General features: G+C 43.6%; 1 protein-coding gene across 29 annotated transcripts in view; it reads right to left on the bottom strand.

The window, feature by feature from the left end:
• The window catches only part of PPP2R5C (protein phosphatase 2 regulatory subunit B'gamma), a 167,420-nt gene that overhangs the window by 60,770 nt on the left and 92,859 nt on the right, over window positions 1-13,791 (bottom strand). For all 29 annotated transcript variants that reach the window (XM_005267819.2, XM_005267824.2, XM_005267827.2 and 26 more), the window contains one exon: window positions 10,338-10,537. In XM_005267819.2, coding sequence (XP_005267876.1) covers window positions 10,338-10,537 — 200 coding nt within the window. The remainder of the gene's footprint in view (window positions 1-10,337; window positions 10,538-13,791) is intronic.

Here is a 13,791-nt window from a genome sequence, read left to right as displayed (position 1 = left end):
TTTTTTTTGACAGAGTCTCGCTCTGTCGCCCAGGCTGGAGTACAGTTGCATGATCTCAGCTTACTGCAACCTCTGCCTCCTGGGTTCAAGCAATTCTCTTGCCTCAGCCTCCCGAGTAGCTGAGATTACAGGCATGCGCCACCACGCCTGGCTAATTTTTGTAATTTTAGTAGAGACAGGGTTCCACCACGTTGGCCAGGCTGCTCTTGAACTCCTAACTTCAGGTGATCTGTCCGCTTCAGCCTCCCAAAGTGCTGGGATTACAGGTGTGAGCCACCGTGCCCGGCCTAAAAAAATTTTTTTTGTAGACACAAGGTCTTGCTACGTTGCCCAGGCTGGTCTCCAACTCCTGATCTCAAGTGATCCTCCTGCCCTGGCCTCCCAAAGTTGGATTATAGGCATGAGCCACTGTGCCTGGCCCATTCTGAATTTTTTTAAAAATTACAAAAGTGTATAGTAAAAGGGAAAAATTAATGATACCACCCAAAGACACCTACTATTAACAGTTTGTACTATATTCCTTCAGCTTTTTTATTTATTTATTTATTTTTTTGAGACGGAGTCTTGCTCTGTCCGTCAGGTTGGAGCACAGTAGCGTGATCTTGGCTCACTGCAACCTCCGCCTCCAGGGTTTAAGCGATTCTCCTGCCTCAGCCTCCCAAGTAGCTGGGATTACAGGTGTGCAACACCATGCCCAGCTAATTTTTGTATTTTTAGTAGAGATGGGGTTTCACCATGTTGGCGAGGCCTTCAGCTTTATTTTAAAAATCTATCGATAAAATGGAACCAAATCAATCTGTGGTGTGGATGGTGCCACAGGGCTGGGTCACCGTACTCTGTAGAGTATTTCACAAGTTACTTTCTCTCCCTAAGTTTGATTTTATTTTCATGAATTTATTTATATGTTACAAACATGAAATCATACTTCAGACCATGTATTTTTAATCTTCCAATCACCATTTAAACTAATCTAACTAACTCTCTATGAAGTAGTTCCACAGCATGATAACTTTCTAAATAAGAAAATAGAGGCTGGGCGCTGGCTCACGCCAGTTATCCCAGTACTCTGGGAGGCTGAGGTGGGCAGATCACCTGAGATCAGGAGTTTGAGATCATCCTGGCCAACATGGTGAAACCCTGTCTCTATTAAAAATACAAAAATTAGCTGGGTGTGGTGGCGCATGCCTGTAATCCCAGCTACTTGGGAGGCTGAGGCAGGAGAATTACTTGAACCTGGGAGGTTGCAGTGAGCCGAGATTACGCCACTGCACTCCAGCCTGGCGACAGAGAAAGACTCTGTCTCAAAAAAAAGTTAAGTAACCTCAAGATATCAGAGTCTGGAGCGAGAATTAGAAATAAGTCCCGTACGAATATGAAGAAAGAAGGCTGCATTGAGGCGTCCCCCTGGTAAGCATTCTGAGAAATCTTGGAGGCTTGTCTCTTTCTGGCCACTTCCGAGGACACTGACAACTTTGTCACGGGGGCTGCCCAAGCTTTCCATGTGTTCCCCTTTCATCCTAGCTGCTCTGTGAGGCAGAAGCATTACAGCTATTTGTCTGCAGCAGACAGAACCAAGCTTGCAGAACCAAGCCGTTCACCCAAAGTAGCACAGTTAGCAGATTAAAGTTGGGTACAGATCCGACCGTTTCATCTGCCCAGAGAAGCACACGACTCCCTCCCTTCTGGGGAATTCTTGCTCCTTGACTCTATCGCATGGTTTGGTGGGCACATGACCCAGTCTGAGTCACAACCACAGTACCCCATCTCCCTAGTTACGGCAACGGGATCAAGGGCAGGTAGGAGACAGGAGACATCAGGCCTCTTCTGGCAAGCCAGCAAGGGCCATGCTTTCCTCTGTCATCATAGAGGGATGCCCCAAAGAAGGAAGGCTGCATACAGAGAGCGGGGACATGGGACACGGAAGGAAAAGCTGTCCCTGTGACTCTGTGGACTAAGTGTGAGAGACCCAGTGTCTGCCTGGTAAACTCCCTTGTGAGTGTAAACAACAGTGAATTGGGTGCCTGCCCCCGTTAACCCAAAGAGCTCTAAATAATGTTAGCAGATGAGACCCACCTCAGGCCTTTCCTACACCAGGGCCCATGCTCTTTCCCCTGAACCAGCATTCCACTTGCTCAAGTCAGAAACCTGCGCGTTGGTTCCTCTCCCCAGGAATCTCAAACAAATCCACCCCGAATCGTGTTTCTACCTTCTTAACATCTCTGCATTTGCCCATTTCTCTCTGCCATCAAAGCCGCTTGGCTCATTCCACCACTTCTCTCCTGAAATGCCGCAGCAGATGTTGAGCTGGTCCCTTCATGCGTCATTCTGACACCCATTCCCACCTATTCTTCACACTGCAGCCGGAGCAAACGGGGTGGTCCCAGCTCTCCCACCCAACCTCAGGTCCTCGGGTTCCATCAAGCTCCCCAGGATCCAGACTCTAGCCCACCCAATCGGGAGCTCCAGGCTTGGCTCAAACCCAAACACGTCTTACTTTCTCTAGTCTTTGGGCTTTAGAGGAGCTGTTCCTTCTGCTGGGAACACTCCCCTCCCCTTCCCTCCTCTATATTGCTTTCACTGAGCCAGCTAGTCCTGAAGCACTGGCCGCTGGTGTAGAGAGGCCACTTCTCTGGGGCGCCCAGGCAAGGGGTTAGGCCTCCTATGCCTGTGCTCTTACCAGACCTTACACTGACCGCCACCGCAGTCCTTGGCCCTCGTATCATTACGTCTGCTGCCTCTTCTTGTCTCCCAGACCAGTAAGGGTGGATGCCATATAGGTAGAGACTATATTATTTTAGTTCTTGGGGTAGCCCCAAGAGGTAGCATGGTGTCTGCAATACACATTTCTTGCATGATTGAGTACACCAGGTTGCGTTCTCAGTGGTCCAGCACAATAGATTTGGATATTTCTGGAGAGGTCCACTCTAATGCGAAGTACTTCTGAGTCATCCGACTCATTCAATCACCAATCCAAGCAATTCCTTTTCTGATCTTCAGGTTATTTTCATCTGTGACTGTTAAGACGAGTCTTAATGCCCAAGTCTATGCAGAAAACCTCATATTGAATGAATATTTATTGAGTCTATAAAAGGCAGTGTGCTGAATTCAGTGGAAGAAATGCAAGAGTATAACAAGTTGTTCTCTGGGGGAACTGACGATCCAAAGATGGGACAATGCAGGACGATTATTCAAAACAGTTATTGAAGTTTTGGCTTGCCTGAGGATGACCTGGAGAGCACTGAAAACACACAGCACTGCAACACACCCCCAGAGAGTCCACAGGTCTAGGGTGGGACCCAAAGAATCTGCATTTCTTTTTTTTTGAGACAGAGTCTTATTCTGTGGTGCGCAGGCTGGAGTGCAGTGGTGCGATCTTGGCTCACTGCAACCTCCCACTCCCGGGTTCAAGTGATTCTTCTGCCTCAGTCTTCCAAGTAGCTGGGATTACAGGCGCCTGCCACCACGCCCAGCTAATTTTTTGTATTTTTAGTAGAGGTGGGGTTTCACCATGTTGGCCAGGCTGGTTTAGAACTCCCAACCTCACATGATCCGCCAGCCTTGGCCTCCCAAAGTGCTGGGATTACAGGTGTGAGCCACCGTACCTGGCCAAGAATCTGCATTTCTAACAAGCCTAAAGGCTGTTGAAGCTGCAGCCTTTGAGTGGCACTGTTTTAGAAAAGTAGCTCTGAAACTTTTTGGTCTTAGGCCCCTACTAAACTCCTCAAAACGGTTGCAAATCCTAAAGAACTTTTGTTTATAAGAACTATATCTATTGATATTGGCCATATTATAAATTAAACCACAGAAATTAAAAAAAAAATCCCAACTTGGGAGGCTGGGGCAGGATTATTACTAGAGGCCAGGAGTTCAAGACCAACTCAGGAAACATAGCCAGACTCCATGTCTTTTTTTTTTGAGAAGCAGTCTCACTCTGTTGCCCAGGATGGAGTGCAGTGGCTCAATCTCGGCTCGCTACAACCTCTGCCTTCCAAGTTCAAGCGATTCTCCTGCCTCAGACCCCCAAGTAGCTGGGATTACAAGAGTGTGCCACCAAACCCAGCTAATTTTTGTATTTTTAGTAGAGACAGGGTTTCACCATGTTGGCCAGGCTGGTCTTGAACTCCTGACCTCAGGTGATCCGCCCGCCTTGGCCTCCCAAAGTGTTGGGATTACAGGCATGAGCCACTGCACCTGGCCCAGACTCCATCTCTTTAAAAAAAAATTAGCCAGTTGTGGTGGCGCACACTTGCAGTGTAGACTCAGCTACTTGTGAGGCTGAGGCAGGGGGAGGGGGAGGATTGCTTGAGCCCAGGAGTTTGAGTCTGCAGTGAGTAATGACCATGCCACCGCACTCTAGTCTGGGCAACAGAGCAAGACCTCATCTAAAAAAAAAAAAAAAAAAAAAATCCATCATGTCTTAGTGTAAATGACATGTATTTATGAATAACTATATTTTCCAGAACAAATTAAGTGAGCAAAGTGGCACTGTTTTACATTTCTGTAAATTTCTTTAATGTCTGTTTTAATAGAAAAATGCTAGATTATCATATCTGCTTCTGTGTTCAGAATGTTTAGGTTGAAATATAGGATGAAAGTCTGGTCTCACACAGACAATGTAGTTGACAAGGGAGGAGTATCTATCTAATAGTGTTTTTAGGTCATTGTCTACATCAAAACTCAACCAGTAGTAGTTTATTAGGGGTGAGCTCCTGCATGGGTGCTGAAACCTTATCAGTGAGGGGTCTATACTCTCACATTCAAATCCAGTGCTGGATCGCGCACTCTGAATGGCTCTCTTGCCACAAATGACTCTGTAACCTTTACCGGTCATTTGGAAAATACTTGTTCATTGAGTTAGGTGGCTCTTCCAAGTGGTGACTCACTTCATCATATCTATTAAAAATCCCACTCATTCCCATCACCACTGAGCTCAGCAGGAGTGTCTGCAGCATTGGGAGGCTGAAGCTCACCCTGGTGCATACAAATTTTCCAAAACTGAAAATTTCTGGCTGGGTGCGATAGTTCATGCCTATAATCCCAGCACTTTGGGAGGCTGAGGCGTGTGGATTGCTTGAGCACAGGAGTTCGAGACCAGCCTGGCCAATAGAGTGGAGACCCCGTGTCTACAAAAAAATTTAAAAAATCAGCTGGGTATGGTGGTGCAAGCCTGTGGTCCCAGCTACTCAGGAGGCTGAGGTGGGAGGATCACTCAAGCCCAGAAGTTCGAGGCTGCAGTGGGCTATGACTGTGCCACTGCACTCCGCCTGGGCAACAGAGCAAGACGGCATCTCTAAAAACAAAATGAAACAAAACTTCCCTAGAAAGCTCACATTTTATCACTGACAACAAACTCTGTCAGTTATTTTCCTTAAAGTGACTTTCTCATTTTGCTTATTTTTTCAGAAGATGCCTGCCAAATATTCAAAGTCCGAATAACTGGTTTGTCTGTCAGTTTTCAGGTAAAAATGGTGTTCCATGAAAACAGCGGCATGTTTGGCTGGCAGCTCCATCCCACAAGCGCTCTCCCTCCTGACTGGCGCCGGCAGCAGAAGAGCTTTATGAAACCTTCACATTTCATCATAGAGTCCTAAGACCATGTGTGCACAAGGGTCATGAAATAATACAATTAATCTATTCTATTGCTTCATTTAGACCACTAAGTGAAACTGGCTGTTTCTATTTCTACTGGGGTGTGTGGTTGTCAGCTTGGTGCCATCACTGTGCTTCTTGCTAAGGTGCGCAATGTTGTACCCACTACTGCTTCTGCACCATCGGTACAAATTTCAATACAGTGAAAAAGTCAATTAAAGTCTTAGCAGTATGATGGAAATAGTTCTAACATCACAGGCCCTCCGAAAGGCTCTCAAGGAGACCAGGTATCTGTGATCCCCTGATTTGGATGAGAATCCCGATTTAGAAGAGACTCTACGTTTCCTAATTTGGGGTCTACTGTAGGCTCTAAGAGGCTTGAACCCTCTGAAACCATGTAAAAACTGCTAGATATGTCAAAGTTTCAGATTTTGAAAGGGTGCAACCCCTAACCTTAACTCTTTAGTTACTGTTAACAAAGCAGCTTTACTTTTACTACATTGAGTTTTTTAAAAGCTACAATTAGTTTTGCTACTGGTATTGTGACTATCAGAAGAAGGTCTGTGCCCGAGAAACAGATTAACTAGATAATTTAATTGAAAAAACAGGAGGCTGATTATATTTAAATACGGCTGAAATTAATGATGGAGCTGGTATAACTTAGGCCTGGGAAACTGCACGCCAAGAACTGGCTCCCCTGGGAATTGCTCCTCACCACCCGCATCTCTCTGAACCCAATAAGCCTTTTTATCTGGAAAAGAAAAGGGTCAAGCTAGATGATCAGGACGTTTCCATTAATTTCTAGGTCTGAAGTCTATGATGTATAAAAATACACAACACACAAGGAGATGCTCAACACAACTGGTTGTCGAGAAATGCACATCAAAACCACAATGAGGTACACTTCACACCCACTAGGACGGCTGTAATAAAACAGATCATAACAAGTGTTGAGGATATGGAGAAACTGGAACTCCCGTACACTGCTGATACAAACGTAAAATGGTGCAGCCACTGTGAAAACGGTCTGGTAGTTCTTCAAAATGTTAAAGTTACCATATGACCCAGCGACTCTACTCCTAGGTATATGCCCAAGAGATACGAAAACACACGTTCATACAAAAGCTTGCGTATCAATGTTCACAACAGTCATTCATAACAGCCCCCAAATGGACATAATATAGTGTCCATCAACAGATACGTGGATAAATAAAACGTAGTATATCTGTATGATGGAATATTATGGGGCAATAAAAAGGCATGAGGTACTGGCACGTGGATGAACCTTGAGAACATTATGCTAAGTGAAGGAAGGCGGACACCAAAGGGTACATATTCTGTAATTCCACTTACATGAAATGTCCACAACAGGCAAATCCATAGAGATGAACAGTCAATCAGTGGTTGCTCAGGGCTGGGGGTGGGTGAGGGAGGAGGGAACAATGGCAGTGACTATTAATGAGTACAGGATTTCTTTTTGAGGGGATGAAACTGTTCTAAAACCAGATGTGATACTGGCTGTACAATTCTATATTCATATTAAAAATCACTGACTCATACACTTTAAATGGGTGAATTCTAGGCTATGTGAATAATACCTCAGTAGATCTGTTTAAAAAAAACCATCTAGCAGTCCAGTCTAATAAGCAGGATACTTAAAAGTAGCAGCATCAGGAGTACAACAACTATAAAGCTTTGGATTCTTCAAAAAAAAAAAAAGTGGAAATTAATGTCTCTAAAACTGTTATGACCAAAATATACACACCCCCATCCCCAATAAGAAACAAAGAGAAAAACAGGCATGGCTAAAGGCTGCTTAAGTGTTGGGCACACAGGGGCTCTAAGCTGCAGAGCTTCTCATCAGACGTGAACCACAAAGAGGCCCAGGCTTTTGCTGCCTGCCACACCAGGCCCAGGCACTGCTTGGGACAGAGGCCTTGTACTGGTTGCTTAAATTCTTGACAAGAGGGTCACAAACCAAGGCCAGGCACCACCCCACCGCCTGTGTTCTTCCTTCTTTCACTATACTTCTCATCAATGCCCTCTAGCTACAGAACAAAACAACAAAACCAAAAATCCAATCTGTCCCCATCCCCTATTCTACCTCCAGATCCAGACAAACAAGGGGTAGGGAAAGGCTATGTTGCCTTCTGAACTTAGAGCAGAAAGGAAAGAAAATGTCCCCTGCTCTCACAGTGACCACAGACAGCATCTCATGTGTGCCCATCTTCACAGGACAGTCTAATTCATCACCCAGTTTCCACTCTGCGCCTTCTTCCCGCCCACGTGGGCATAAGGCAGAAATCACATTCCCAGTCTTGCAACCCTATCTATTTCATCTGGATTACTTTTATTCACGGCATCACCGTAATCTAAAATGAAAATTATTGGTTGGCTTATTTTATGGTTGTCTCCCACGTGAAAATGAAAGCTTTAGGTGAAAATGAAAGCTTTAGGAGGGCAGAAGTCTTGTTCGCCATTCTATTTCCTCACCCCAAAACGTGCCTGGCCCATGATGGATGCTCAGTGTCTGCTTACTGCTTAGGGAGCCCAGGGGCTGGCAACGCTCTGGAGCCCAGCGCGAGGTTTGGGTGGGAAACAAGTTAATACAGCAGGAGGAGAATCAAGTTAGGAAACAATTATGACAGGGAGAGGAGAGGCAATGATGACTTAATCTATAAAAACAGCCTCAAGGGCTTTTAAGTATCCTAAGTGGTGCCAGTAACCCACACTGCTACTGTGAAATACAAACGAGAGGCGGTTTCAAGCAGTCGGGAGCACACTCGGTTCAAGGGCGGGCATTTGACCTGAACCAGGCCAGCGGGAGTCTTGTCATTCTTTGTAGATTCTTCCCTCTTAGGTTAAAGAGTGGGAATCAGAGACTTTCTTAAACATAGGAAAATCTTCCACACGTGTAAACTTAATATAGAATTTATATACTTATAAATCTAACATACAGTAAAATAAAATGAACACATAATAAGGAAGCATTAAGCAATAGGGGGAAATGAAATAGTCAATACATGATGTAGGGAGAAATAATTTTTCAATAATTTTAGAAGAAAATAAATTTAAAAGAAAATGAAGTTCTATCCCTAACCCACATCATAAAAAAAAACAAAAAACAAAAAACAAACAAACAAAAAAACTGGAATGCTCCTAACACAAAGAAATGATAAACGCTTGAGGTGATGGAAACCCCAATTACCCTGATTTGATCATTACGGATTCTATGCTTCTACCTAAATATCACATATACTCCATAAATATGTACAACTATTACATATCCATACCTAAAAGAAAAAAGATTATAAAATGTGATGCGCAAAACAAAATTATGAAAGTAATAGGAGAAAATATTAGAGATTTTTATGATTCTGGGGCTAGAGTGGGCCTCCAAAGTAATTGAGAGTTAAAATTAATGAAAGAAAAAAGCTATTCCCCAAGTGTCATTAGTCTGAACAGGTAAGGTTTTAGGGTATATATTCTCTGCTCAGTTTATGCCTATTACTCTTCTTCAGGCACAAGTCTGGGACAGGAACCCGCATGGCCTTTGTAGTCCTTAGGCCGACTACATGGTAGCCATGCCAGTGAATTCTGAACTTTAAGAGTTAAAAACAACAAGTTAAAACAATCAAGTTGATCTCAACCTCTGACACAGTAGACTGAACTACAACGAAGAACATTACTTTCATCTTTTTCCAAAGCAAACATACTAAAGAAGGAAATAAAAGTATTTTAGGTCAAGAAGTCCAGTCAATTCTGAAATATATAGCTTTGGAAAAAAAAATCAGTAACTTAACAAAGAGTTCAATGAAAATTGGACTTAACATTTTACACTAAGCCACACTGACTCCCCAGTAAGTGTGTGTGTGGGGGGTACTAGTTTCAAAGGCAGATAAAATATCAACAATTCAAGAAAAATCAACAGAAAACTGGATTTCAGCGTCAAACAATGAATTTTGGTAATGGCACTGAATGAAGTGTTTCCAGGTGGTACTGACTGAGGAATGGGCTGTAAAGTTTGACACTTCAGAGGACTGAGATCTGGGGGCTGAATAAAACCAACAGTGAACTAACTGCAGGATGATAAGACTATTTCAGCCAGTCAGGACATACTGTCATTGATAGAGGAATGACAGAGGAAGCACTGACAGAGGAAGGCCTTCTCAGCCAATCAGCATGGGCTGTCCTGATCCTAGCACTGACAGGTGGCGGCCTTCTCAGCCAATCAGCATGGGCTGTCCTGATCCCAGCACTGACAGGTGGAGGCCTTCTCAGCCAATCAGCATGAACTATTCTGACACCAGCTTGGTTCTGTCAATATTTCAACTCCATCCCATCATTAGAATTTTCCTGCACATGGATGGACAAAATGTTTACTTCTGAACTATAAAAAGGCACTAGTATATTAATGTTAAATATGTTTTAAAAAAATTTAAAGAAGATAAAATAATAAATAGAAATACAAATTCTAACACTTCTACTCCATAGGGTAGTTGTGAGGATTAAATGAGTTAATAAATGCAAAGCACTTAGACTGGTCCCTAGAAGACAACTGACTTCCCTTCCTATTATTATCATTACAATCCAGGATACAAAGAAAATTTTCATTCTTCAAGCACAACTACAAATTCTGGAACAGGAGGATTCTTCTCCTGGGTAGCACTGTGTTAGGCTCAGAGATCTTGGCCTGTCCTGTTTATAAATCAGAACTGGGACACACTGGTTAAACTGTAATCACTTACCATATGGACTACTTCTGGGTAAATAGGCTCTGTGATCACATTCCGATTATGGGTGATATATTCTACCATTTCACTTAAAGCAGCTCGTTTTACTTCCTTCCACTTTAGGTCACTTAGTGGATCAGAAACAAAGTCAAAGAGGACGCAACACTGACGTAACTTCTGGATAAAAAGCTTCTCTTGATCAGCAGGAGGAACATCTGAAAAGCAGAAAGCAAAGTATATTGATCACAAAAGTGCTTAACCCAAAGTTATTGTGAAACACATTTAAGCTTTCTTCTATTTTTATTTTGAATAGAGATTCAAGAAAAAAGGAGATGGGTGGGGTAAACAAAGGCTATTCCTTAAAGAAAATAAAACGAAAAAACCCAGCTAGTCGCTGGTCATATTATATGTTTGGTATGAGGAAGTTTTTATGCTTTTTAACTCTTTCAAACCATGTTGAGAGCACTGTTAGAAATAAACTCCATCTACATGTGTTCATTCAACAAATACTCTCTGAGCAGCAATGATCACAGGCACCGTGTCGGGCAGTGGAATGAGAGGCAACCAGTAAGGTCCATGTCTGGGGAAAGGGCGTGGACACATTGACACCAGGTGATATCTGCAGAATTTAGGTTCAGGCAGGGTAAAAAAGACCAGAGGGGGAAGGATGCCTCCTTATGTCTGCCTATAGGCCCTCAGCTTACAACATGGGAAGGGCAGGTGGTTGTCCACGCTTGCTAGATGACAGAGCAACTGGCATCAGTCCAAAGATGTAACAGTCCAAACTGACTGTTAACTTCCAAACATTCAAAGAGTTAGCACCTTAGAGCCCCACCAAGCACACTGCATTTCCCTCATCCTGGTCTACAGTCAAGGCTTATCACACATGACGACTGACGTTAATGATGATGGCAATTTAGAAACAGCAATAACGGTAACTATTACTTAGTGAGTGCTTACCTGGGCCAGACATCATCCTAAAAACTTTACACATATTGACACTTTCTTGCCATTTAATCTTTATAACAGCACAACAGACATAAAGAAAGAGGTTTAGAAAATCACTCAGTGCTGGCAAGTGGATGAAGCTAAATTCAAACCAAGCTCTGAATGACGGTCCAGTATTCTGGGAAGTCTGGAAAACTTCTGTCTGCCACTGTGAGCGTGACATCTTCCCTGGGCTGAAGAGGAGATCAGTGGTGACACGAATAAACGGGACTGACTGACATACATACTGAAATGTGTCAAAGATTTGCAAAATGTTTTAGGAGATTTGCATAACTCCGTGAACAAGTATTTTCCAAATGATGAATAAATAGTGTTAACACCATTCAAGGGCAAAAGAGCCATTCAAAGTACAAAGTAGACCACTTGATTTAATGGAATAAAATTTACAGACGGCTTTTACTGATATAGTTTCAGATTCCACCTTACAGATTCCTTTAAGAAACGACCCATACTAACTTTTGGTGTAATATCAAAGCAAATGTCCACGACTATCTGAAAAGGCTACTAAAATACTCCTCCCTTCCCAACCACGTTTTCCCAAACTTCCACCAAAGCAACATATGGCAACAGACTGAATGCAGAAGCGGACAGGGGAATCCTTGTCTTAATGTCTCCTAGTAAGCCAGACATTGCAGAGATTTGCAAAAATATACAACTATGCCACTCTTACCACTAAATTAGTTTTTGTTTTAGAAAACATGGGTATTTTCTTTCTTTCTTTTAGAGACAGAGTCTCACTCTGTTGCCCAGGCTGGAATGCACTGGTGTGATCTTGGCTCACTGCAACCTCTGCCTCCTGGGTTCAAATGATTCTTGTGCCTCAGCCTCCCCAGTAATTGGGACTACAGATGTGCGCCACCACACCCAGCTAATTTTCGTATTTTTAGTAGAGACGGGGTTTCACCACGTTGGCCAGGCTGGTCTCGAGCTCCTGGCCTCAAGTGATCCACTTGCCTTGGCCTCCCAAAGTGCTGGGATTACAGGTGTGAGCCAATGCGCCTGGCCAACGTGGCTAGATCATTTAAAAATGTGTTATTTCTGTTAAAATGTAATATGTTTATTATATTTTAGTAAATTAATAAATACATGTTTAAAAATTTCTCCAGTTTAATTTCAAATAGGTCAGTAGCAATAGCTAAATTCACATAAAGAGTGCTCTTTCACGTCCTGCAGAGTTTTTTAGGAGCACTGGGGCCCTGAGACCCACTGCCCCATGCCAGCCTCGCTCCAGGGAGTGTCCTGGGGGCGGCGGGGTGTTGCTGCTTTCCTGCAGCTCCTCTGCTTCCTCTGGTGCCGAGCATTTCCACACTCCTCTTGCCCTTCCCTGCCCCTACTGTCAACTTCCTGTTGAGGTTTCTTCTACAAGGCCTTTCCTTACTGCCTAGGTAAGATGTATGACTCTGAGCAAGTCATCTGGCACTTGTTAGTGCTTTAAACAGTTAGCTATCTGCTTAGTACCTCTTACTCCCAACTAGATGCTTTTTGAGGGTAGGTGCCATGTGACTATGTCTTCTAGTTCTCTATATGCCCAAAGGCCCAACATTGAGCCTTGCAAATAACAAGCACACAGACTCTGCTGTCTGAGCAGACCCATTCTGTAGGAAGCTACGGTTTCCCTGTTTCCTACGCTGCATTCAGAGATCAGAAGCACACACGCAAGGCCATGGGAGTGGGGTGTACTGCCTGTAGGATCCTAAAACACCATGAGAACAAAAATTTTATTCCTAAATACTCTGAGAACTCAGTGGCTGTGCAACTATTTGAAACGAGTAACTGTCATTACAGCGTTCAGGACTCTTCACATTCAGATATCCAGTCTTTTTCAATGAAAAACGTTCATTTTTGGAATTACCTCTTTGCTTGCCTTCAATTCTCATCAATTCTACACCTTTGTTTGTACCCTAATTTGCCAGGATTACCTTAAATGAGCTCGTGTGTGTTGTCGCAGCCTGTGTATTTGGAGCTGTTTGGCATTCTCACATTCTTGGCACTACAGAGAACTGAGAGTCCACCGTTCTCCCTAAGAGCCACGCTATGCACAGCTTGGCTCCTAAGGAGTAGCCAGTTAAGTCCTTTAAGAACATGTCCTCGCCAAATCCTCCTAACAGCAGTTCAAGCCAGTGCCGTTACCCCGATCTAGAGGCGAGGACACAGGTACGAGAGCCAACACAGCTTGCCTAAGGCCACGGTGCTATGAAGTGGCAGATACGGACACGAGGGCCAAATGTACCCTTTTCAGGGAACTGAAACTCAAAAGGATGTTGGGATCATTCAGAGTGGAGTTAAATCACTCTTACATGCCTCAAAATGCCCTAAAAGCATCATTCGCGTTATAAACACTGCACAGTAACTGATACTCAGAATAAAAGACTAAGTTGTCATTCAAACACAAAAGCAAATTTATTACAATTAAGAAGGAAGAGCAGAGTAACACGGTTTTTAATAAAATTTCTATCCAAAC

Source organism: Homo sapiens, chromosome 14 (assembly GCF_000001405.40).
Source record: "Homo sapiens chromosome 14, GRCh38.p14 Primary Assembly".
Lineage (NCBI taxonomy): Eukaryota > Metazoa > Chordata > Mammalia > Primates > Hominidae > Homo > Homo sapiens.
This window is presented reverse-complemented; position numbering and strand designations above follow the sequence as displayed.